This window comes from Homo sapiens, chromosome 11 (assembly GCF_000001405.40).
Source record: "Homo sapiens chromosome 11, GRCh38.p14 Primary Assembly".
NCBI lineage: Eukaryota > Metazoa > Chordata > Mammalia > Primates > Hominidae > Homo > Homo sapiens.
In genome coordinates, this window is record NC_000011.10 from 35,730,218 (window position 1) to 35,757,338 (window position 27,121).

General features: G+C 38.0%; 1 protein-coding gene across 2 annotated transcripts in view, besides 1 other annotated feature; it reads left to right on the forward strand.

The window, feature by feature from the left end:
* TRIM44 (tripartite motif containing 44) overlaps positions 1–27,121 on the forward strand; it is a 155,233-nt gene that overhangs the window by 67,443 nt on the left and 60,669 nt on the right. For both annotated transcript variants that reach the window (NM_017583.6, XM_006718254.2), the window contains one exon: positions 5,209–5,228. In NM_017583.6, coding sequence (NP_060053.2) covers positions 5,209–5,228 — 20 coding nt within the window. The remainder of the gene's footprint in view (positions 1–5,208; positions 5,229–27,121) is intronic.
* Positions 22,251–22,752: an enhancer, noted in NCBI's record as "OCT4 hESC enhancer chr11:35774016-35774517 (GRCh37/hg19 assembly coordinates)". NCBI's record gives its function as "activates a minimal SCP1, AML or CMV promoter by ChIP-STARR-seq in naive H9 embryonic stem cells {active_cell/tissue: H9 hESC(naive)}" and the evidence as "EXISTENCE:reporter gene assay evidence [ECO:0000049][PMID:30033119]".

A 27,121-nucleotide genomic window follows, 5' to 3' on the forward strand; every position in this document is an offset into this window, starting at 1 on the left:
AAATTCACTGGATGGGCTTAATGGCAAACCGAAAGAAAGATTTGGTGAATTTGAAGATAGATTGATACTGATCCAATCTAAACAGCAGCAAAAAAACATGGAAAAATAATTGAACTGAGCTTCAGGGACTTATAGGACAATAATGAAAGATACATGTCACCAGTGTCAAGAGGGGAAAAAGGAAAGTAGAGCTGAAAAAATAGTTTGAAGTAATAGTGTCTTAAAATATCTAAAATTTGGCTGAAAGACATAAACCTACAGATTTAAGAAGCAGAGTGAACCTAAGCAAGATAAACTAAGAAATCCATAGCCAGACACATCAGAGTCAAACTTCTGAAAACTAATGACAAAGAAAAAAAATCTTGAAAGCAGAGTAGCTAAAGAGAAATGACACATTAGCTCTGCAGAACAGCAGTATGAATGAACATATGTCTCCATTTATAAGTCTGTTTTTACATGCTCTCAGAAATGGTTCATGGTTTTCATTTAAAGGTATTAATGGCTTTTATTAAATTTATTCCTAGTTATTTAATATTTTCAGTACTATTGAAAATAGAATTGTTTTTAAATTTCATTTTTCAGCTTATGTTAGTATATAAAAATATAATTGGTTTTTATATATTAGCCTTATATCTTTTTTTTTTTTTTTTTTGAGACGGAGGTTTGCTGTCGCCCAGGCTGGAGTGCAGTGGCGTGATCTCGGCTCACTGCAGATATTAGCCTTATATCTTGTAACCTTGTCACATTCACCTATTAGTTATAATAGTGGCTTTATAGATTCTTTAGGATTTTCTATATCAGCAATTATGCCATCTACAAATAGAGACAGTTTTACTTTCTTTGTTTCTAATCTTTATGCTTTTTATTTCTTTGTCTTGTCTTACTGCAGTGGCTACAACCTCCAGTGCAATGTCTAACATAAATGGTAAAAGTGGACATCCTTGCCTTGTTCATAATCTTAGAAGGAAGGGATTCAGTATATTACTATTAAGTATGATGTTTTTTGTAGATGCCTTTTATCAGATTCAGGAAGTGCCTTTCTATTCCTAATGTGCTGAGGGCTTTTATACAAACTGATGTTGACTTTTGTGAGATATATCTTCTGTATCTCTTGAAATGATCATACGCATTTTTTTCATTATTCTGTTGTAATGGTTAATCATGTTGGTTAATTTTACAATATTAAACTAACCTTGCATTTCTGAGATAAAGTCCCATTTGGCCATGATGTATAATCTGGGTTCAGTTTGCTTATATTTTGTTCAGGAGTTTTGTGTCTTTGTTCATAAGGCATATTGGTTTATATATTTTTATAATGCCATTGTCAGGTTTGGGTATTAGGATTATGTTGGCTTCATAAAACAAACTGAAAAGTATTCCCTTCTCCTTTATTTTTTTTTCTCACTGTTTTTTGCAGAATTTACTTACATCATTTTATAAAACTCTTTATAAAGCTAAGTATTAAAAATTGGTGTGTCTTTATTTATATGTCATGAGCATTTTTGTCTTTTGTCCAGTTTGGTAAGGAGAATACTGAGTTGCAATGAGCTAATATTGGAAAAAGTATGTTCAGATGGGTAAACCATTAAAAATGATACATGCATATGATAACCATTTATTTTAAACTTGAAACATATTTGTACTTTTTTTTTTATTCTGAGGCAAGGACTTTGAAAATATGGGTTTGCTAATTAGAGTTAAATGTCATGTTTCTGGCTAAACCATACCCATTTTGCGCCATTTATAAGGTCCAATTTCAGACTGTCTATAGTGAGGGTGATACCATTCAAAGCAAGCTGAATGCAGAATCTTAGTTCTTATAACTTACTGTTTCTAGTATTTTGCTTGTGTTTCACCTACACCAAAATTGACAACAATTTTTAAGTAATTCATCTTTATTAAATTCTGTGGATGCATTCAACTTAGTTCTTATGTGAGCAAGTTATCTCTCTTGCATTCACTTTTTGTTATTTAATTAAATGTGTCATCATTACAAGTTCATATAAACAGCCTTGTTTGATTCTTGGTGAACAACATTTCCACTGGTGGAGGTAGAAATGGGAGGTTGCACAAGAGTGCAGTCTGCCATCAGATATCACAAAGAGCATTTGTGATAATTAGGGATTTGGGAGCAGTGCTTAATCTAACAAGTCATTTAAATGGAAGTTGGTATTTAATAGACTCTCACTTCTGATATTCTCTGAAACCAGAATTTGCTTATAATAGGAGTAGAAATTAATCTTAAAGCTTACCTATATCTTGAATAATTATTTACTATGAGCCTTGTGCTGTGTTAGGTGCGGTGAATACAGAAATGAGCAAAACACAAGTTCTATTCTCAAGGAGTTGAAATCCAAAGAGGGAGGCACTGTTTGATGTTGTCATTGTCAGTTTTCTTCTCTAAGTACTAGTGTAGAGTGGCAAACCCTACAAATGTGGGAGAAAGGAGGAGGATTAACTTATTCAAGATGTTAGTGAAGAAGTTTCGAGTAAGGCTTGATCTTAAAGGATAGATAGGAATTAGCTAGGTTTTTAGAATAGGGATGTGCATTTCAGGTAGCAGGAACATCACATGCATATCTTTTACTAGCAAGGTTAGCAATCCTCTCCGTGCCAACCTATTCAAAACGGCTTTATAATTCATATGTGTGTGTATATTCTTGCTTTGTAACAGTGACCATTGTTTCTGAAAAGAAGCATACATCTATAAGCAGTAGAATTGGATGAACATATAGCAAAACTTTGTGTCCCATCTTTTCTGTCCTTCCCCGCTCTCCCCTAGAAATGTTATTAATTAACAATTCAAGGAAAGTAAAATAATGGCTACTATTTGTTGAACGATTACAAGGTACTAGACACTTGCTTAGTGTTTTACACAGATTTTCTCATTTATTTTAATCCATATGGTGACCCTTTGAGGTAAGAACTAGGATCTTTATGTGCAGATGGAGAAACTGAACCTTGGAGAAGAAAATTGCCAAAAGCTTCACTTTTGGGATTAATGAACCAGAATTTGAGACCATGTTTTTATATTATAACTGAGAAACCCTGTCTCTTAATCATTACACCAAGGTATGTGATTTTGAGGAGGACTTGCTCTAAATTATGGGAGAAAGTTTAGATATTTTTTCCATAAAGTTATCTTAGACAATTAGGCTTAAACATCCAAAAATAATTGAAAAATTTGTGTTGAGATATAATTATGTCATTCATAGTTATGTAACTCATGTTAAATTTAAATTATATAACTTTTTATTGGTATATTATAGATCCCATGAGACATATCAGATGATAAAAATGCGAAGAAATTTTCCACCATCCCTATACCCTCCCTCTACCACTCGCCCTACTTCCCTCTAGTTGGAGTGTGGATGATTAACGCCCTTCCCACTATTGCAGATCTTTAACAGTCTGCCAAAAATGCCCTTCTTATTCGACCTCAAATGGCTAGTTTGATTTAAATCACCTTTCTGGCTGCAGCTGTACTTTACAGGCTTGCACCCTGGCAGTCTCCCTTTACCTCAGTCACGCTCAACCCCACATTGCCCTCAGTTCCAACCTTATACCACCCCCAGCGCCCTGCCCAAAACACACATGTGCACATCCCCATTCTGTAGTTTCACAGAACTCAAGGTCCCTTGAACAACACATTTTTAGAAATTTGCCTTTGCTCTTGCTAGTTCAGTGTTCTTCCCACTTTTCTCTGTTGTCAGCCTGGGAAAATACTATTTATCCCTCAAAGTGGCAATATCAATGTTACCTTCTGTGTGTGAAGCTTTTCCCACCTTCTCCAGGAGAGGCAGTGTTCATAACTTCCCTGTTGATTCTCATATTATTCTGTTTATGTCTTTGATATTGATCATAACACATTTAGTAATAGTTCATTTTCTTTCTGCCTGTTTCTCATGCTCCTGATTCGAAAATCCTAGAAGGTTAGATCATTATGAGTGATTGTTTTTCCTTAGTTAGCATATATATATATAGTAGCTTCTTAATGAATCCTACTGAATTGTTACTGATACTGATATATAGCCTTTATTAAATACATCCTGTGTCACAGGCACTGTGTTTGATGATTATAAGCATTATTTCATTTAATCCTCATACTCATCCTATGATACAGAGACAATTATTACCCCATTTTACAAATTAGGAAATTGAAGTTAAGAAAGGCAAAATAACATGAGTAAGCTATTAGAGCAGTAGAGTGATAGGGTTAAGACTTGAACCCAGAACATCGGACTTGAGAGCTCATTCTGCCTTATACCAGTAGGAACCATTCATTCATTCATTCATTCTCCGAGGAGTACAACCAGAATGTACATTCTCTATTGAGACTACCCTTCAATGGCTAAAAAGAAGGATATAAAAGATACGCTGACACCAAAAGGATGAATGAGGTCCCTTGGGAAAGGCTTGAGAGTTATTTGAAAAATCTAATTTGATCACAGAAGGAAGCTCAAAGGAATCTGCTGTGATCACTTCTGATAAAGTTAGGTTGAGAGAATGCCATACCTGGAAAAATAATGTTAACACATTGTTTTTGAAAAGTGGGCAAGAAAAAGAGAAGAGCCATTGTTTGATGGAAGAATGATGTGGATCATCAAATGCCAGAACTAACCACTTACGGAGGAGAAGACCAAAGTCCAGATTAATTAATGTTTGCCCAAGGACACATAACTAATAAGTAACAGAGCTTGGACTAGAATCCCAATTTCTTGAGTCCCAGTTCAGTGCCCTTTATACCACAGTGTTCTTTATATTAGAATTGCAGTGTTCATGTTTGATGAAAAATGCTAGAACAAGGCAGAAATGAGTCTTTGAAGGAAACAGTTTGATGTTTTTGGAACTGGCTAGCTTTTGTCTAAGACGTGCCTCTATTTTGGGTTTCTCACTTTGCTAAGAACTAAATACTGCCAGCCATACAAATAAAAAGGCAAGGCAATTATTTAGGCCTCCTAGGTCTGTGCATTCACTTCTCTGCTCTGCTTGTCAGGGCAAATTATCAGGTCATCTCCACTGGGCAGTTTGAACATAGGATTATATTAGCTCTTGTCTTAGCCTTTAGATGTCTGTTGGTTTGTCTCTGTTACAATAAATGTATAGTCCATGCATTCAGGTTGGGAGAGGGGAGGGAAAAGAAAGAAATCTGACTCTGTCTGTACCAACAGTGATTTCTAATACTGTTTCTTTCTGTTTGTCTTTCAGGGCGATGAGGAAGGACCCAGGTAAGATCACATTGTTGCTTGTCTTTTCTCATAATTGAAGTAGAGTGACATTTGTGGCCTTTTAGTGCTCCATGAAATATAGACAGCCAAGGAACAGCACAGAAAAGGGATCTCTATCTTAAGCCTGGGATTTGAAGATCTTATTTTGTAAGACTCCCGTCTCCCTCTCATCTATGTCATTTCCTGCCTGTAACCTTCAGATAAGTAACTTTGTTGTATTCTTTTGTACATTCAGAATACCTTGTTAAGAAGAATAGGCACTACATTTAAATGGTAATGTAGTATCATTATGGTAATGGTAATGGTATCAGGTGGACTGACTAGATAAATTTTTGTAGTCTTTCTTGATTGGAATTAGATTGATTTTTTTAATGGGCTCTAGATCTAGTATTCTTTATTTTTGACCTATAATATCTTTGTGTCAGACACAAGACACCTATATGATGAATCCTAGGGTACAGGTATACAAAACTTTGTTTAGGAAAAAAAAAATGTTCTTTGTGCTTCTGTATTGCCACAGTTGAATGCAGTTTAGAAGTGCATTTTATTATTGTCTGAGCCTTGCAGTGAACCTGGACTGTGGTTTACTTACCCTTCCTGTCATTCTTCTCAAGCAGTGAAAACAGACTCTGGGAAAAGCTACAGCTGTGTCATCAACACAATTGAGGAATATTTGTACAAAGTAAAAGGCAATGTCCAGATGGGTCCCATCTGTCACATAGAATCAAGGGTTGTTAAGGCTGGGAAGTATCAGAATGGTCATCCAGGCCACTGCTATTCAAACTTTATTTTTAGCAGAAGCACCCTTTTTTGAAATGGACTTTAAGCAGAACCTCAATGTGTAAAAAACAATTTTTCTCTGGTCAAAGTTGGGGCAGCATTCATTGAACTTTCTCTATTCTTCAAAATAAACCCTGAGGAGCTTCTGCAGTGACCTAGGGTTCCTCAGAACTCAGTTTGAAAATCACTATCAAGTCGCTTATTAAAAGAAGCTAAATGAATTGTCAAAGGTTACCTTACTGGAATCAGGATTTGACCCTTCTTTGTTATTTTGTTTGTTTGTGTGTTTGCTTTTTACAAACTAGCAAAAACAGTTTCCTCTCTTTTTTCATTTTCCCTCCCCATATCCTGAGCCTCTTTCTTAGCGCCAAATGTTGTCCCACATCTGCATCTCTTGGTGTGTTCTTCCCTTGGAAACTATAGTTTTTAACATCTGCTCTGGAACAACAAGATCTTGTCTAGCTCCTTGTCTACTATGGCTAAAGCCACAGGCACCCAACTTTAAAAGGCATAGGCATCTTGCTTTAAACCTACAGGGTTTCAGGGAACCACTTCAGACTCCATCTTTCAACCATTCTCAGGAACAGGCTCCTTCTTTGTTGTGGTTCTTTTCCTTCCTTCCTCACTCTTCACTCCCTTCCTTTTGTTCATTTAACATATATTCGTGACCTACTGTGTGTCTGGCACTGTGCTACATCCTGGGTATATCATGGTGACTAAAGCAGGCATAGTTCCTACTCTTGTAGATCCTAAGTGTAGTGGGAGAGGCGAACATGTAACTGGGCAATTACATGGTAGGGAATGTGTTCTGATAAGTTTAGGCTACTTTAGGAAGGGCTCCTAAGTTAGTCTTGGAGGATAAGGGGAGGCTTACCAGAAAAGGTTATATATAAACAGAGATCTGAAAGGTTGGAGCAGGGGTTGGTTGTTCTAGGTAGAGTAAACAAATTGTGTGCCAGTTCCAGACAAGAGAGGAATGGAAAAAAGACAGCAGAGCCCAGATCATTTAGGGCCTTATAGACCTTCTTAAGGCATTTAAGCGCTATACTGAAGGCAATGGGAAGCTATTAAAGATTTTTAAACAGGAATTAACCTGAACAGATTTGCATTTTAGAAGTGTCTCCTACCTATGGAATGGAAAATGAATTGGAGGTGGATCGAGAGCCTGGGAGACTTCCAGGCACAGTGATGCGCACCTATAATTCCAGCTACTCAGAAGGCTGAGGTGGGAAGATTGCTTGAACCCAGGAGTTCAAGAGCAGCCTGGGCAACATTATAAGACTCTGTCTCTAAAAATAAGTAAATAAAAAATAAATTTTAAAAATTGAGGTCGGGCACAGTGGCTCACGCCTGTAATCCCAGGACTTTGGGAGGCCGAGGCAGGTGGATCACCTGAGGTCAGGAATTGGAGACCAGCCTGACCAACATGGTGAAACCCTCTCTCTACCAAAAATACAAAAATTAGCCAAGGGTGGTGGCGCACACCTGTAATCCCAGCTACTCGGGAGGCTAAGGCAGGAGAATTGCCTGAACCTGGGAGGCAGAGGTTGCAGTGAGCCGAGATTGTGCCATTGCATTCCAGCCTGGGCAACAAGAGCAAGACTCCATCTCATAAAAACAAAAAATTGAAAAATAAGAAAAGAGCCTGGGAGACTAGTTAGACTAGGTTATCGATGATGGGAGCCTAAATCAATATCTTCTAGTTACTGGTTCGGTTTTTATCATTTTCCACAGACCTTTGGTTTAGATGCACTTTAAACTATCTCCTTGGCCCTCCTCCGCCTTTTCTCTCAGGATTAGCTCTAGCTCCTTAAAATCCAGTCCAGTCAGAGCCCTAGACTTACTTTCCCAGAAAAAGAGTTCAAACAAGACCATGATAAAGAAAATACCTTGGCAGAGGTAGTGTGCAGACTCCACAGGATAGCAGTGGCATTTCTGTCTTAGGAGAGCCGAATTAGGGTGAACACACTCATCTTTATAGCCACATGCCAGAGTCACATTGATTAGAAGAATACAAGGACTGTATGAAGAGATTAACTCCCTTTAAAGATACTGTTCAGTGTGAGATTCTGGCTTTAGAGTTTAATTGCAGATACCTTTGTATCATTTTGACAAGATAATGGAAAGGCATAGAGTTTCTTGTAACCAAGATGTCAGGCCATCTCCCTTGAGCCAGGCTGCTATGGAGGTCAGTAAGGAGTCCATTGGACTAGGAGTTGACGGATCCCTTTTTGGTACAATAAGTACCAAAAATAAGTGCATGTTCTGATTTGTCAGAAAGGAGGAGGAGGAGTCAGATTTTCTTTTTTAACCTTTAAATTCCTACTTGTTGGTTCAATTCACTTTATTTGTATTAAACTACCATTTGGCTCAATTTATTCTGATTAACCCTTCAAGGCAAATTGCCTTTGATCTGAAATTTTTCTCATTTATGATACATACTTTACCCTTTCAACAAGCCAAATAGAGTTTTGTTCCAAGGGCTTCTGTATTGCTGACAGTACTAAATTAGAGTTTGATGTATAAGGAACGCAGAAAGGAAGTGTGGGAGTCCCTACACAAGGGATGGATGAGAAATGAAGCCGGAGACACTGAGTTCCAGTTCTGCTTGGATCATTATGCCTGTGTCTCCTTTGCTAGCATTCTTTTCACACAGCCACTTCTCTACTGCCTACATAGAAGTTCAAAGAGAATTAGATTCCAACCAGTCTCCATGGTGGAAGGAAAAAAGAAAAACTCCTGTCCTATGGAAACATATTTGTCTATAATGGATCTTCCTCCCTCTCTACTAGCTGGAGTGTCTTGCCTTTTTTCCTCTTTTCTGTTTTGATTTCCCAGTTGTTTGATATTAGGGGACCAAATGTTGTGCTTTTAGTCATGTCTGTTCCTTGCCCTAAATTTCATTGTGCAGTTATTCTGCTAATTTACCACAATCATAATCATAGCTACCATTTATTGACAGTTCATTATGTCCAAAGTGCTTTATATATATTCTAATTTAATCTACATGCAAACCTCATGATATAGTTATTAGCCCACTTGTCAAATGAAGAAATTAATGCCTTGAGAGATTAATTTGCCTTAGATCACATGGCTAGTAAGTGGCAGAGCTATGACTTGAATCTAGTCTGGCTTCAGAGTTTAACCACCAAGTGCTCTCAGCCACCATGTGGACTATCTTCAAAATGGCAGCATGCTTCTCTCTGTGACCCTATACAAAAGCCAAGAGGATTCACACACAGTCCTCAGAATATGACTGGTCTTGTTCCTCTAACCTGGGAGTTCTTCAATTGCTTTGACATTGAATTGCTGTGGCCCCTGTTTTCTGCAGGTTGCTTCCGCTCTCAGCCTCTGTCATTATAAAGGGAATGTCTTTGTCTCATTCTCACACAGTATCCTCTGAGGGTTAGCAGAAAAAGGGGTGCTCCCTGGGGAGCAGCCAACTAAGCCTGCCTTTGACTCCACAGAATAGCTGTCTGATGCCTCTCAAACTGGTATCTTACTCCTCAGATCCATGATACACAGTCATATAGCTGGCAAGAATTCTTGGAGGGCATGGAGAAACAAAAGTCCTAATATGTAAAACATGTGTATTAACTGCTGTGGAGTCATCATTTAAGAGAGTGTCTTTGACTTTGGGAGACTGACCCTGATCACGAGGTCAGGAGATCGAGACCATCCTGGCCAACATGGTGAAACCCCGTCTCTATGAAAAATACAAAAATTAGCTGGGCATGGTGGCGTGTGCCTATAATCCCAGCTACTTGGGAGGCTGAGGCAGGAGACTCACTTGAGCCAGGGAGTCAGAGGTTGCAGTGAGCCGAGATCGTGCCACTGCAGTCCAGCCTGGTGACAGAGCAAGACTCTGTCTAAAAAAAAAAAAAAAAAAAAAAAGGTACCTTTGAAGCCCAGAGTGATTTTTTTTTTTTTTCCTAAGCAGAAAAGCAATTTACACTTTTGGCATCAATTTTCTGCCTTCTCTGTGCTATTATGAGAGATCTTGTGTTCACTCCCTCACAGGTTGGCTCCTTCTCTACTCCTGCTGGAGCCTGCTGAGAAGTAATATATATCCTAGGAGAGGGGGTGGCAATAGGATCTGTTGGCGTAAAAGCTGTTGTGTAGTGGTAGGAAGTCAGAGAGGGAAAAGACCCTTAAACTCTTGTGCTTAGAGGAGAAGGAGGAAGATCAGGATTAGATTTTGATTTGCTATTGAGGTTTTCTGTAATTTTTTTTAACCTAAGAGGAAAATGGCTTTTTAATAGTAACACCACACTTGGAACTTCTGTAGAATTTTTCATCTTCAAAGCTGGCTGTTATTCAGGCAAAAAGCTCCTGCTGAGATCACTGTGAATCTGACCCATACCGATTCTGCGATCAAACAGGAAGCGTGTTCTGAAGGAGTAGGAGCTGAAGGAGAGTCAGCAGACCTAGCTTCTATTTTTGATTCTGTCTGTGACTGACTGTGTGACCTTGGGCAAGTCATTTAACATCCTTGTACTCTTATTTTTAGTTCCCTGTAAATATTATCCTCACCCCTCTTCACTCTTTCCTCCACCTAGTTTTGGGGATATCCTTGTGAGAAGGAATACAAGTCTTTTATCACATATGGAGTGGGAACAACCTGCTTACAGATTCTATAATTTGGTGGGTTTTTTTTCCTCAATTTTGTTTCTTTAAAAATTATCTTGGGTCTGTATTCTAGGTACTTTTTTTCCCCCTCTAAATGAATAACCATATGTTCTTAGATATGGCATTTCTCTTTCTATTTAGGTTGTAGAGATGAAAGAGGACTAAGTTAGTGATACGCTTAGGTTTCTTTTGTCTTCTGATTGCAAATTTGTGGTTTGGTTGTTGCGTTGTCTTCATTGCAGGAAGTCTATCTGGAAGCTGAAGAAAATGGCTGTGATACTTGTGATATGGAATGGAACTATCAGGACTGCTTATTATGCAAAGTGGGGTGCCAACATCTAAGTTGGCCTTCAGCATACAGAGTCTCTTAATTGTCACATTTCCCTGTTATGGAACCTGAGTTGACCTTATTTTTCCATGCTAAGGATTGTTTATCCCTCACTTAAGTCAGATGAAAGTTGAAGCCACACTATGCATTGTGCTGCCTGTCTATACCCAAAGCATACCTCCTTGCTAAAATAATTGATTCAGAAATTTGCCCGTAAGAGTCACAACTTTATTTTGTGCATGTTAGTATATTAACCAGAGATTCCATTCACAGCTGGAAAATTCAGCTGAAGTGCCTCTAGCTTATTGCATCTGCCTCCACCTGGAAATGTTGACTAGAAGCAGCCTATATTTTTAACATACATCTACCTACTTTATAATGCTAAGAAAAAAGGGCCCAAGAGGAAGGGGCATGGATGCCACTTTGCATGCTATGGTTTAACTCTAATCAATTTGTTTGCCATCCGGTACAGTAGTTACGATGCTTGGCAGGCTAACCTTGTTTATATATTTGGCCTCGGAACTTATCAGGATAACATTTCCCACTAGGAGCTCTATTCCCTAACCTCTCAGACAACAAAGATTGCAGAGGAATTCTTTCTTTCAACAAACATCTTAGAGCGCCTAATGCCAGGCCCTCTGCTAGGCCTTAGGGATATGGATATAACTAAGACTTTGTTCCTGCATTTAAAGATCTCAAAATCTAGTTTGAAAGAGAGCTAAATAAACCATTTTAATTTTATCTATCTATCTATTTATTTATTTATGAGACAGGGACTTGCTTTGTCACCTAGGCTAGAGTGTAATAGTACAATCACAGCTCACCGCAGCCTCAACCTCCCTGGCTTAAGTGATCCTCCCAACTCAGCCTCCCACCCCCATCAGCGAGTAGCTGGGACAATAGGTTCATGCCACCATGCCTGGCTAATTTTTTTATTTTTTGTAGAGATGAAGTCTCACTTTGTTCCCCAAGCTGGTTTTGAACTACTGGGGTCAAGTGATCCTCCTGCTTCGGCCTCCCAAAGTGCTGAGAATACAGGCATGAGCCACCACATCTAGCCAGCAATTTAAATTTTATATTTAAGTGCAGTGTAATAATTATTATGATAAATTATAAAGAAGCATTGAGTGCCAACTATATGTGAGGAAGTATTTTAAACATTTACATATATTATCTATATATATGGATATATATATATATGGTCTATATATATAGGACAACAGTCCTAATAATTAATGTTAATATATTAATATTATATTAAATATAATTATATTAATTACAATTAATATAATTATATTAATTGTATTATATATAATTATATTAAATATAATTATATTAATTGTATTATATATAATTATATTAATTATATTAATTGTATTATATATAATTATATTAATTATATTAATTGTATTATATATAATTATATTAATTATATTAATTGTATTTTATATATAATTATATTAATTGTATTATATATAATTATATTAATTGTATTATATATAATTATATTAAATATAATTATATTAACTATATTAAATATAATTATATTAAATATAATTATATTAATGTTATATGTTATGTATTATATATTACATATAAATATACAATTATATTAATATATTAAATATAATTATAATATTAATTATACATTAATATCATTAATATATTATTTTTATTTCTAATTTGAATGAAAAAACTGAGTCGCAGAGAGGTTATACACTCATGAGGTCACACAGCTAAAAAGTGGTAGAGCCAGCATTCAAACTCAAGTAGTCTGACTCCAGACTGCAAGCTCTTAACTATTGCAGTATAATGATTCTCTGAAAAAAATGTTGGATGTAGAGTAGGTTCCAACTAACTCAGGATAAAGAATCAGAAAATATAGCGTTTCTTCTGGACCTTGACAAATGGATAGGTCTAGGCTTCTTCAGATTGGAAAAACAGGAAAGCTGTCTAAGCAAAGAGGTAAGTAGGAAGGCTCAAGGAGTGAAAACACATGTGCTGTGCGGGGAATGGTGAATAACTGCATGACTGGCCTGGGGTAGGAGACTAGACTAGAAGGTGGGTTGAGTCCAGCTTGTAAAGGGTGAAGTGTACCATGTTGAGGCACCAGAAGTTGTTACTGTTTTCTGTTACGCTTTACCTCTTGACTACAGCATTGCCCCCTTATAGAAGAAATGGACAGACTTCTGAATCTTACAGGTTTCTTCCTCCAGTCACATCTCATGATTTGTTATGGGTAAATTGCTTTCTTTACATTTTTGTTTCCCCATCAAAATCTCACATCTTACTATACTTAAAGGACAAATATGTTTTGAAGCATTTAAAGTATTCCCCTTTTGGGGGTTGCTCTTTTAGTTGGAAAACTAAGCAACTGAGGTAAAGTAGTTGTAGAAGGGAATTGTCTATTTGATTTGTGTCTGTTTTGATAGCTTCTGCCTTCCTCTAATTTATTCTTTCTTTTCTTTTTTTCCACCACGTTTATTACATAAAAGACACTGATATTCTATTCCATCATTATCATCACTAATGTTTGTGACCCACTAAAATGATTTCCCAGCTCATCAGTGGGTTACAATCCATGGTTTGAAAAACACTGCAGCAAATTTTATGCTAATCTGCCATGGATACAGGGTTACCATGTCCATGATACCTTGGCGTGAACTAGAAAAAGGTGCCCTTTCCTCAAGATGCCTAATTCCATCTGCCAAAAAATTGTCGTAATGTGCTGACTTTGTTAGAGTAGGATACTATCATATGCCAGAGAATAGTTAAAAATAAGTAAAACTTGATGTCAACATTATGAATGGTGTGCCCAGTAAATAATTATGTTGTAAGCACCCTGTGCACAACTGTACATATTTGCCCTAGTGTACACTAAACCACATGACAAAATAGGTTGGAGGTGTTTGTTCAATGGATAAATTATCTCAGAGTACCTGTATACCAGGGATTTGTGACAGCTGTTTTGCCTTCTTAGGGCTTTTCTGCTCATTTCCCTATTAGAGTAGCCAGATAAAATACAGAACACCCTTTTTAACTGGAATTTATATAAACAACAAAAAAAATTAGTATGAGTATGTGCTACACAATATTTGGAAGATACTCATGCTAAAAAATTCATTATGTATTTCAGAATTGCTAAAAGATTATATCTTAAATGTTCTTAACACAAAAAATAAGTATGTGAAGTCATGGATATATTAACTAGCTTTACGTAATTGTTCCACAATATTTACACATATCAAACATCACATTGTATCCTATAAATATACACAATTCTTATTTGTCAATAACATTTAAAAATTAAGAAATATTTAAAAACATTCACTGTTATCTGAAATTTAAATTTAACTGGGCACCCTGTTTTTTTTTTTATTTCTTCTTCAGTGTTTAAGTTCAGGGGTACATGTGCAGGACGTGCAGGTTTGTTACATAGGTAAACGTGTGCCATGCTGGTTTGCTGCACAGATCGTCCCATCGCTTAGGTATTAAGCCCAGCATCCATTAGCTATTCTTCCTGATGCTCTTCTTCCTCCCACACCCAACCCTCTGACAGGCCCCAATTTGTGGTGTTCCCCCCATGAGTCCATGTGTTCTCATCATTCAGCTCCCACTTAAAGTGAGAATGTGCAGTGCTTGGTTTTCTGTTCCTATGTTAGTTTCCTGAGGATAATGGCTTCCAACTCCATCCATGCCCCTGAAAAGGACATGATCTCATTCCTTTCTGTGGCTGCATAGTATTCCATGGTGTATATGTATCACATTTTCTTTATCCAGTCTATCAGTGATGGACATTTGGGTTGATTCCATGTCTTTGCTATTGTGAATATTGCTGCAATGAATATATGCATGCATGTATCTTTATAATAGAATGATTTATATTCCTTTGGGTATATGCTAAATAATGGGATTGCTGGGTCAAATGGTATTTCTGGTTCTAGGTCTTTGAGGAATCACCACACACTCTTCCACAATGGTTGAAGTAATTTACACTCCCACCAACAGGTTTTTCTCTGCACCTTGCCAGAATCTGTTATTCTGACTGGTGTGAGATGGTATCTCATTGTAATTTTGATTTGCATTTCTCTAATGATCAGTGATATTGAGCTTTTTTGTTTGTTGGCTACTTGTATGTCTTCTTTGGAGAAGGGCGTATTCATGCCCACTTTTTAATGGGGTTGTTTTTTTCTTGTAAATTTGTTTAAGTTCCATGTAGACTCTAGATATTAGGCCTTTGTCAGATGGATAGATTGGAAAAATTTTCTCCTGTCTTCCTCTAATTTAAAGTCAAGTTTGGAAAGCACAGTAAGTCCTCACTTAACATCATTCATAGGTTCTTGGAAACAGCAGCTTTAAGTGAAATGATGTATAACGAAACCAATTTTACCATAGACCAGTTGATATAAACAAGAGTTAAGAAAGATTTAAGAACGATTAATAAAACAAGCAAGATAATTATTTACCCCATTATTCCAGTTCACAGTCATGAGTGGCTGGAGCAGCTCAGGGCACAAAGTGGGAACCTGCCCTGGCCAGGATGCCATTTCATTGCAGGCTGCACTCACACCCACACTCACTCAGACTATGACAATTTAGACACACCAGTTCACCTAAGGTGCACATCTTTGAGATGTGGGAGGAAACCAGAGTACCTGGAGAAAACCCATGCAGACATGGGGAGAAAGTACAAACTCCACACACAGTGGCCCGGACTGGGAATCCCCCCGCCTTTATTTTTCCTCATCAACATTATAAAAAAAAAAGTTGAATGAAAAGACTCTATTCAAGGACCTGCTGTAGTTTAGTTCCTTCTAAATTAATGGAGAAAAGCAACATTGAAGCACCATCTTCCAAATAGATTTAAGGATTTAGAGGTTTTCCTTAAAAGGTAATCAAACAATTAAGTTGATGTGAAGGAATGCCACATTGGTCCCTGAGTTAGATCCAATGCTGAGGAGTCTAGCTGCAGCCTAATTCTCTTCTTCCTTATTTGTCTTCATAGCTATTTTGGATTAGCACTAAGCAGAGTGGATTTTAGGAAGTCACACAACTTCAGTCTATGTTTTAAGAATAACTAAATTTGATGTCCTTGGTTATGCCTCCCTCACCTGTGGACAGCCACAGCAAAATTGGTGGTGATGGTGTCTTTTTCATTTTAGGAGAAACCTGCTGGTCTTAAGCATCTTGTCACATTTTTTCCCAGTGAGAGGCAGGCAAGAGGTCAGTAATTCTATTTTCCCAGCAGCTTCCGGGGGTCCTTCTTTTTTTTTTTTTTTTTTTTTTGTAGCTCTATGTCACTGAACTGCAGTTACCTCTTTATCCAGAAGCTGAAACAGCAGGCATCTGTAACTCATGCTGGCAGCATATGCTGGTGGAGTTTTTTGTTTGTTTGTTTTCTTTCCTAGATGATGTGAAGTTCAGAGTCGATGAGTGCAGATTTTCTTAAAATTAGAACTGTAGGGAGGTGGCTTCAGAACTTTAAGAAATGTAGCCAAAGGCTGAGTTACAACTGGAGTACCCTAAATGGTGAGGTTTTACAAACCATGAGGCAAATTCATGTGCCTATACTTGTTTGGACCCAGGACCTAAACATGAATGGTTGCAGGTTCATAAAATAAATGCTTTCTTGTCTATAAGCAGGGAGTTCAGCGAAGAAAAACATTTTCTTATATAAATGCCTCATTCCTTCTTAGCACCACTACCAGTTGTTCCCTGTAGGTTCGCAATGTGGTTATAAAATGGAAAGGCATTTTGTTTTCTTGGTGAGTACATGTCTTACCCTCTGGTTTCATCATTTCTATTTAGAGGGAAGTGAGATTGAGCATGAGAAAAACAGTGCAAAGAGGGAGAACCTGACAGAGTTGCAGCAAAAGCAGGGAGAGAGGCATTTCTCAGCTGCTAGATGCATCTTGGTCTAGATACTTTGGGACAGCTGCCATTTTCTCCCACCTGTACAGGTATTATTGTCTCTCATACAAAGACTAGTTAAAACTCACTAAGCTGCCAACTTCTCGCTACCTTTCAGGATTGTCCAGGGTTAATAGTTATCCAGCAGTAATACCTGCCTGTGTATTGAACATTAACTAGGAGCTAGATCTACATATATAATTTCAAAGTTTTAAAACAACTCTGTGAGGACAGTTATTCTAATCCCATTTTTGTTTGTGTATATGAAGATAGTGATGTTATAAGAAATTAAGTGACTAAGCCGTGATCACACAGTTAGAAAGTGACTCAACCTGGATTAGAACCCAGATCTATCAGGGTTAAAATTCTATGCTTCCAACTATTATACTGTACTGCCTTTGTCAGAAGATGGAAGATTCATATCTTCCAACCTCATGGCCAGGAAAAAGTAAAGCTGATGGATGGAATTATGACAAGCCAACAGGGATTTGGTACTTTTATGAGAAAATTTTTTCATTTTCTTTGTTGAATGTCAACAAGCAGTTTGTCTGAGAAGAAAGTTGAGGTGGGGCTTGCCAGGAAAGTGCCTAAGGTGGAATGAACAGGAACTTCTCTCCCCAGACAGGTAAACATTAGTTTACTCACTGGCTGTGGAGCCATCAGCTGCCATTGCCTCTTCTGAAAGAGCCACTGTTCACCAAGTGGCAGGTGCAGGCCAACTGTTACCATGGCAACAGCAGGAGAGGCAAGCAGTTTAATTCCAGAACTGATAATTAACTGGGGGGTACGGTGCGGGGCAGGGAGAAAAATGGGGGGATAATTGTTGCAGGAGGGAAAACTTAGCAATTACCGGCAAGTTGCATAGATGAAAAGGCCAGGCACAGATGCTCCAGCCCAGCATGCTACTAGCTTTTGGCACTCGTTCCCTCAGGTTAGGAATTTTTGATACACTAAAGTGAAGGGTTGAATCCCTAGCCAACCAAGTCTTTTTAAGGAATCGCCTGAGGAAAGAAGATTGTCACGTAGGCTGTGAAAAGAAATACAGGGGGCCACATGAATGACTACCTGAAATTATACCACTCACCCAGAAGTGACCCAGAAATCCTATCTAAACTCTGCAGGAGGGATTCATACTTGGTAATAAAATAGGACCCATAAAGCATACTTGTTGTGGGTGTCTACTTCTTTGGGTCGAATAGGGGAAAGTGGCTTGTTAGAAAATAAAAGGAGGACTCGAGGAAGTGATGAACTTGTTTAGGTACTTAATCATCATAGCTATTAGTCCATCAACCCTTCAGAGACTGTGTTAATGAAAGTAGCCAGCACTCACATGGATGATTATCTATCTCATTTAATCCTCAAAACAATTTAGGAAAAACATGCTATTAATATTCTCATAACAGACTCAGAGATGTTCAGTACCTTGACCAAGGTCATAGAGCTAGTAAGTTAATGTACTGAATCTTATCCTATTGGGTTGTATTTTTAAAATAGAACCTATACTATTCTATAGAGAAATCGTGGTCCCAATCTACAACAAAATCAGACTTAAGCAGATATAAACAATTTATAATAAAAAGGAAAATATTTTTTCTAGTAAAACAAGGTTAGCTGCAAAATAAAATATCCCGAATGAACAATGTTGGAGAATATCCTTTTCTTTTGAGATCTATCAGGCTCATAGCTCAAGATTAGCCCTATGTCCCAAGCCCTGATCAGGTGAATAATGTGAGTCATGATTCTTTCCTAACTTGGTTCTATGGCTCAGGTGGGGTAAAGCTCAGAAGAAGAGGAGGTTTGTTGACATTAAGCAATGCAGAGGCTGTCCAAAACTCATCTAAATGATCTGTTAGAACCAAACTTCCATGATGTATGTATTTTTCATGGGAAAAAATGCCATAATATACAGCAAGACTTCCCTGTATTCCTTGGTGTGTGTATGTGTATGTTAGAGAGAGAGAGAGAGACAGAAACAGATATTTTACTTTGAAACAGTGAGTCTCAGTTGGAGGAGAAACATGGCATTCATTCAGCAGAGTTTTTAGAGCACCTGCTTCATTCTAGCATTGTCTTTGGTGCTAGGGATATAACTGTAGAGAAAACATTCAAAGTCCCAGCCTTCAAAGAACTTATGCTATAGAATCTTAAGAAAAGGTAAAGGAAGGTAAGTGATGTGTAATTTAAAAGCACATTTTAAGGAGACTCATTAATCCTTCTTTCAAAATCTGTTATAGAAAATAAAACTTACCCAGTCCTTCTGGCTGGTAGGAAGATATACAAAAGATAGAATAAGAATAAGAGAGCAGTAGAGGCCGGGTGCTACAGCTCACTCCTGTAATCCCAGCACTTTGAGAGGCCTAGGCAGGTGAATTGATTGAGGCCAGGAGTTCCAGACCAGCCTGGCCAACATGGCAAAACCCCGTCTCTACTAAAAATACAAAAATTAGCCAGGCATGGTTGCACACACCTGTAATCCCACCTACTCAGGAGGCTGAGGCACCATAATTGCTTGAACCGCGAGGCGGGATTGCAGTGAGCCGAGATCGTGCCACTGCACTCCAGCCTGGCCAGTGAAGCAAGACTCCATCCTAAAACAAACAAACAGAGCAGTAGAGGTTGATAATCACTATTTAAAACTATGAGGTTACCCTTGATTTTCCAGAGGTTTGACAAACTAATAAGTTAATATTGCCTTTGCAAGGGAAAAAATTAATATCAAAATTTGGGAGCTTGACTGACACAGTAATTATGCTGGAAAATGTAATTTTGCCTCCATAATAGAGATGGGATTATTTCAAGAAGATCTCATTAATGTGCTGTTCATCAACAAATAGGAGTGTAACCTTTCTTTTATTAGATTAATACAGGGTCGTGATGCAAAAGGCTGTTGGAATAATTCTTACTCCTTTGTTCTAAGAAAATAAATTAAGTACCGTCTTAAAGTCTAGATATGGAAATTAAAATCATTAAAGACAGAAAAACAGTGTGGCCACTCATTCCAAAATCTCCATGAGCCTTCTGTCATTTCTATAAAATTCATTCCTTTGTACATTTATGAAACAAATTTGATCAAGTGTCTACTATGTGCTAGGTAGTGCTAGATGTTGGAGCTATAGTAGAAACCAGAACCAAATGCAGTCCTTGTTTTCATGGCGCTTACCACATTGTGAATGGTCTCTCCTCCACATTTGAGGGGCATATATTTATTCTGTGTCTGCTCAACTCACATTAAAGGATCGGCAGCCTACTAAAACATTCATGTCACTTGTAGCTGTAAATGGAAATCTCCCAATGCAGAGCTTTCTAGATATATTAGACTAAACACTATTTTAGCTCTCAGTTTGCTCTTCTAAACTAGGGTTCCATGGTCCAGTAAGTTTCCAAAGGCCACCTTCTTGGAGCTCCACAAGTTTCATGATGCAATAAAGACTTTGAGCAGCCTTGTGATAATGAAATATGTTTAGTTTGTTTAACCTGACATTCCCACACTTATTGACCGTAAGACTCTTAACCCCATCACATAAATGTAAGTCTTTAGAAGTGGTGTTCCTCAAGATATACTATGATGCATGCTGCTTTTTCTCCACTAGATGTTGGGACTTGTTGCTAATGACTGACATGCAGAAAGAGGGTATAAAGAAAATGTAGAGTCATTATCTTAGTTGAAATCATCTCTTCACCATACTTTGGGACTTCTAGGACATTTCTCTGCTATTATTCATGTAATTTATTTGTACCGCAATTAAAAGTGTAGCTATCAGGGGTATAGAAAATGAAGGTAATACATATTCCTGGGAAAAGGAGGCCCAGAGAGGGCTGCTCAGATATTTTTAAAAATTGCCATTAAAAAAAAAAACTTGGATGTACATAATTCCATTTAAAAAATATCACCATAAATAAGTTTTATGTTCTTTTTGTCTTAATAATGTGATTTTTTTCCTATTTTTAGTAATAACAACGCAGTGGTACCACTGTAAAACAAGCAACCCAGCACATTGCCTAGCACAGAGTAGACACTCAAATCTTGGTTAAATGAATGAATGAATCAGGCAGTGACAAGGAATATTACTAAATATAAAGCAATGCAGAACAATTACATTTTTCCAGTTTTAAGTCATTGCATAAAGTGGGCCAATCCTTCTATGTCTTGATAGTGCCTCTTACATCTAAAAGCTAATACATGTTTATCATATGTTGGGAAGAACCAAGAAAACATTTTACAAACCCTTAAGTACTGCATCTAACGAATAGTAATTTTTTTTCACCAATGATCATGGAATTGCTTTAACTTTCAATGTGTGAGAAATTTCTCTAATATGGCCAGGCCTTGATGCCAGATGGATTATACACTAGGATCACAGTATTCTGACTAAAGGCCAAGAGAGAAGGGCAGTGAGACCAGGATATCAGGCTTTCATTAGAACCTGGCTGTCTCAATTTTCTCATCAGTCATATAGGAGCAGTAGTACCTACTATGTATTAAGAATCAAGTAATGATAGTACGTAAGAAATACAAGTAAGAAGAGTAAATTTTGTCTTATACCCTTTAAAAGCGTAAAGTGCTAAACAAGTGAAATAAGAGTGAATGAAATAAAGGTAAGTCTTTTATAATGGTATCTGTTAAGACATAATTGTATTTACAACCTGAGGCTTAAATGAGTCATGAGTCATTTAAACATTTACCAGAAATAACAAAGGAAACAAGAAAATTGACCTTGATTCAGCACCTTTACAATTTACAGGATGTGCACGGACATCTCATTTCCATGTTCTGTCAATCCTGAGAGGTGGTTTTGCTATTTCCATATTACATAGATGAGGAAATTGAATGAGTATAAGTGACTTGTCCAAGTTTGCCCAGCTAAAATTAGAAGTGGCAAGAGTTAGAGTAAGACCTTCCTGTCCTACATCCCATGGCTTTGCTGTCCTAGCTACTTTTGTTCAAAACATAACTCTTGTTTTCTCCTCTGTCCTCCAAATTCTTCTACCCTTTGCCTTCTTAGTAAGTGGCATTATTCTGTCTCAGGCCAGTAGCCGAGGAATTATTCCCAATATCTTTCTTTTTTTTTTTGCATTCCACATCCAGTTAATCAGCAAATCCTGTCAGATTTGTCCTAAGTATATATCAAATATAGAGGCTTCACACCACCTCTACCTCACCGTCCTGGTGTATGCCACATACTTCCCTTTAAGAATCCTACTGCCTTCTTCCTGTTGGCCACTCTTACTCATTCTTCCTCCTGCCAGACCTCCCCCGACCCCCACTGCCATTCCATTCTTCACATAGAAGCTAGCATGAACTTCTAGGATACAAAGAAGATCATGTAATTCTCCCAGTCAGAACACTGCACTATGAATTACATTGTGTCTGGAATTTGTGTCAGAATAACCTGTGGTTCTCCCCCTCCCTCACCCCTCCACAGAGTAAGTCCGCAAGTCCCCTTGATGCTAAACCCCAAATATCTCTCGAGTCAGTCTCTTTTGCTCCTTACTCACAGTCTCTGCCTTAGTGGGGGAAAGAGAGCCTATAAAGCCTCACAAAATGAGGCTCCCACCTACCTCTCTCCATCCCCATGCCTCATTGCTCACCTTAGCCATATTGCTTTCTTCCTCTTCTTCAGAGGTGAAGTTCCTTCCTATGTCAGGGCCTTTGTGCTCATGTTCCCCTCTGCAGGAATGCTCGTCCCCAGAGTTTCACATGACTCGTTCTCTCGCTTCATCCAGGTGTCTGCTGAAATACTACTACTTTAGAATAATATTCTTGACTGTGTTTTGGTTTTCTGCATAAACTTGCCACTGCATGAAAGTGTATTATATATTTAACTTATTTTCTTTCTTTTCCGCTAGAACATAAATGTAATAAGGGTAAAAATTTTGTCCATTTCACAACTGTATTCTCTAGAGCATAACAGGCATTTATTTTTGAATATACAAATCGCTTTGCAAACCCTGTTTTCTAAGTGCAGAAAACCCTGGTTTGGAATAGGAAAGTCTTAGATTCACTGGATTACATTCTCAGTCTGTCACTTTGTGTAGGTCATTTGCCTTTAGCAGTTATTTGTGAGTCTGCTTTTGTTATTTACAAAATGGGGATAATAAGGTGATACAATTGGGGGGGGAGTTAAATGAGCAAATGTATATGAGTCTTTTGAAAACATTAAGGTGTTATAGACATGGAAGAGAAAGCCTGTATTTGGGCCTCAGAGCCTAATACCCCTGTAAGACAGCCATTGTAGGGAATTTATACAGACCCATTTCTTCAGTGTTTCTCTGCAGCTCTTACAGCTTGACAGAGATTCTACTCTGCCAGTGTTAGAATCCCAAGCCTAGGATCTTCATTCATTCTCAGACACTGGCCTAAAGAATAACTTGTCCAAGCCATATGGTTTCCACATGGCTGTGGGAAATAATGCTTATGGATCATAATTTTTGCTAGGAACCAATATTAAACCATCTAGGAGCAGTTCTCTTAGGCAGGACTACCTTAATGACAGGCAAGTATTCTCTTGCTTCTTTTCAATATTGTTTTGTTTTCAGAACATGCAGATTATGCTTAAGTAAACGAGTAACACTGTTATTACTGAAACCAGATCTATCCTAATGCTGTTTGGGATGAGAATATAGTTGCCAAATTGATTTTTTTTTTTTCTTCAGACAGAGTCTCGCTCTGTCACTCAGCAGGTTGCAGCGCAGTGGCGTAATCTCAGCTCAGTGCAATCTCCGCCTCCTGGGTTCAAGCGATTCCCCTGCCTCAGCCTCCCAAGTAACTGGGACTACAGGCATGTGCCACCATGCCTGGCTAATTTTTGTATTTTTAATAGAGACAGAGTTTCACCATGTTGTTCAGGCTGGTCTCAAACTCCTGACCTTGAACCCAGGAGGCCAAGGCTGCAGTGAGCTGAGACTGCACCACTGCACTCCAGCGTGGGTGACCAAGTGAGACTGTCTCAAATTTAAAAAAAAAAAGAAAAAAAGAAATTTATTGAATACTTACTAAGTGACTAGTAAGTACTAAGCATTTTACATGTGAGTATTAGTGTGGGCCTTCAGACTTTGTGTTAGAGGTAATCTTTCTTTCTTTAGTAATCTTTACTAATCTGTTAGTGGTTGTATAAAAGAGAGGCATGCTAATATCACTGTAGTTAATGGGAAATTATTGGCGAAATCCTCACATGAGTAAACAGGGAATCATCTCGGATTTCTTGCAGGATGCAGGGAAACATTCTGGATGTAGTACAAAATGGATAGCCAGTGTCCATGCTGCCTGCTGCTCACTCTAGTGCCCGACTATTATGGAGACTCACTGCCTGTCTCCCCTTTATCTGTACACCTCCTACCTTTCTTTCAAGGTCCCATTTAGTTGCCTCTTCTTCCATGAATCCGTCTTTGATCCTTCAATCTTTATAGTTTATTTTTATTTTTTTTATTATACTTTAAGTTTTAGGGTACATGTGCACAACATGCAGATTAGTTACATGTGTATACATGTGCCATGTTGGTGTGCTGCACCCAGTAACTCATCATTTAACATTAGGTATATCTCCTAATGCTATCCCTCCCCCTCCCCCCACCCCACAGCAGGCCCCGGTGTGTGATGGTCCCCTTCCTGTGTCCATGAGTTCGCATTGTTCAATTCCCACCTATGAGTGAGAACATGCGGTGTTTGGTTTTTTGTTCTTGCAATAGTTTGCTGAGAATGATGGTTTCCAGCTTCATCCATGTCCCTACAAAGGACATGAACTCATCCTTTTTTATGGCTGCATAGTATTCCATGGTGTATATGTGCCACATTTTCTTAATCCAGTCTATCGTTGTTGGACATTTGGATTGGTTCCAAGTCTTTGCTATTGTGAATAGTGCTGCAATAAACATACATGTGCATGTGTCTTTATAGCAGCATGTTTTATAATCCTTTGGGTATATACCCAGTAATGGGATGGCTGGGTCAAATGGTATTTCTAGTTCTAGATCCCTGAGGAATCACCACACTGACTTCCACAGTGGTTGGACTAGTTTACACTCCCACCAACAGTGTAAAAGTGTTCCTATTTCTCCACATCCTCTCCAGCACCTGTTGTTTCCTGACTTTTTAATGATCACCAGTCTTACTGGTGTGAGATGATATCTCATTGTGGTTTTGATTTGCATTTCTCCAATGGCCAGTAATGATGAGCATTTTTTCATGTGTCTGTTGGCTGCATAAATGTCTTCTTTTGAGAAGTGTCTGTTCATATCTTTTGCCCACTTGTTAATGGGGTTGTTTGTTTTTTTCTGTAAATTTGTTTGAGTTCATTGTAGATTCTGGATATTAGCCCTTTGTCAGATGAGTAGATTGCAAAAATTATCTCCCATTCTGTAGGTTGCCTGTTCACTCTGAGGGTAGTTTCTTTTGCTGTGCAGAAGCTCTTTAGTTTAATTAGATCCCATTTGTCAATTTTGGCTTTTGTTGCCATTGCTTTTGGTGTTTTAGACATGAAGTCCTTGCCCATGCCTATATCCTGAATGGTAATGCCTAGGTTTTCTTCTAGGGTTTTTATGGTTTTAGGTCTAACATGTAAGTCTTTAATCTATCTTGAATTAATTTTTGTATAAGGTGTAAGGAAGGGATCCAGTTTCAGCTTTCTACATATGGCTATCCAGTTTTCCCAGCACCATTTATTAAATAGGGAATCCTTTCCCCATTGCTTGTTTTTCTCAGGTTTGTCAAAGATCAGATAGTTGTAGATATGCGGCGTTATTTCTGAGGGTTCTGTTCTGTTCCATTGGTCTATATCTCTGTTTTGGTACCAGTACCATGCTGTTTTGGTTACTGTAGCCTTGTAGTATAGTTTGAAGTCAGGTAGCGTGATGCCTCCAGCTTTGTTCTTTTGGCTTAGGATTGACTTGGCAATGTGGGCTCTTTTTTGGTTCCATATGAACTTTAAAGTAGTTTTTTCCAATTCTGTGAAGAAAGTCATTGGTAGCTTCATGGGGATGACATTGAATCTATAAATTACCTTGGGCAGTATGGCCATTTTCACAATATTGATTCTTCCTACGCATGAGCATGGAATGTTCTTCCATTTGTTTGTATCCTCTTTTATTTCATTGAGCAGTGGTTTGTAGTTCTCCTTGAAGAGGTCCTTCACATCCCTTGTAAGTTGGATTCCTAGGTATTGTATTCTCTTTGAAGCAATTGTGAATGGGAGTTCACTCATGATTTGGCTCTCTGTTTGTCTGTTATTGGTGTATAAGAATGCTTGTGATTTTTGCACATTGATTTTGTATCCTGAGACTTTGCTGAAGTTGCCTATCAGCTTAAGGAGATTTTGGGCTGAGACGATGGGGTTTTCTAGATATATAATCATGTCATCTGCAAACAGGGACAATTTGACTTCCTCTTTTCCTAATTAAATGCCCTTTATTTACTTCTCCTGCCTGATTGCCCTGGCCAGAACTTCCAACACTATGTTGAATAGGAGTGGTGAGAGAGGGCATCCCTGTCTTGTGCCAGTTTTCAAAGGGAATGCTTCCAGTTTTTGCCCATTCAGTATGATATTGGCTGTGGGTTTGTCATAGATAGCTCTTATTATTTCAAGATACATCCCATCAATACCTAATTTATTGAGAGTTTTTAGCATGAAGGGTTGTTGAATTTTGTCAAAGGCCTTTTCTGCATCTATTGAGATAATCATGTGGTTTTTGTCGTTGGTTCTGTTTATATGCTGGATTACGTTTATTGATGTGCGTATGTGGAACCAGCCTTGCATCCCAGGGATGAAGCCCACTTGATCATGGTGGATAAGCTTTTTGATGTGCTGCTGGATTCGGTTTGCCAGTATTTTATTGAGGATTTTGGCGTCGATGTTCATCAGGGATATTGGTCTGAAATTCTCTTTTTTTGTTGTGTCTCTGCCAGGCTTTGGTATCAGGATGATGCTGGCCTCATAAAATGAGTTAGGGAGGATTCCCTCTTTTTCTGTTGATTGGAATAGTTTCAGAAGGAATGGTACCAGCTCCTTGTACCTCTGGTAGAATTCAGCTGTGAATCCATCTGGTTCTGGACTTTTTCAGTTGGTAAGCTATTAATTATTGCCTCAATTTTAGAGCTTGTTATTGGTCTATTCAGAGATTCAGCTTCTTCCTGGTTTAGTCTTGGGAGGGCGTATGTGTTGAGGAATTTATCCATTTCTTCTAGATTTTCTAATTTATTTGCGTAGAGGTGTTTATAGTATTCTCTGATGGTAGTTTGTATTTCTGTGGGATC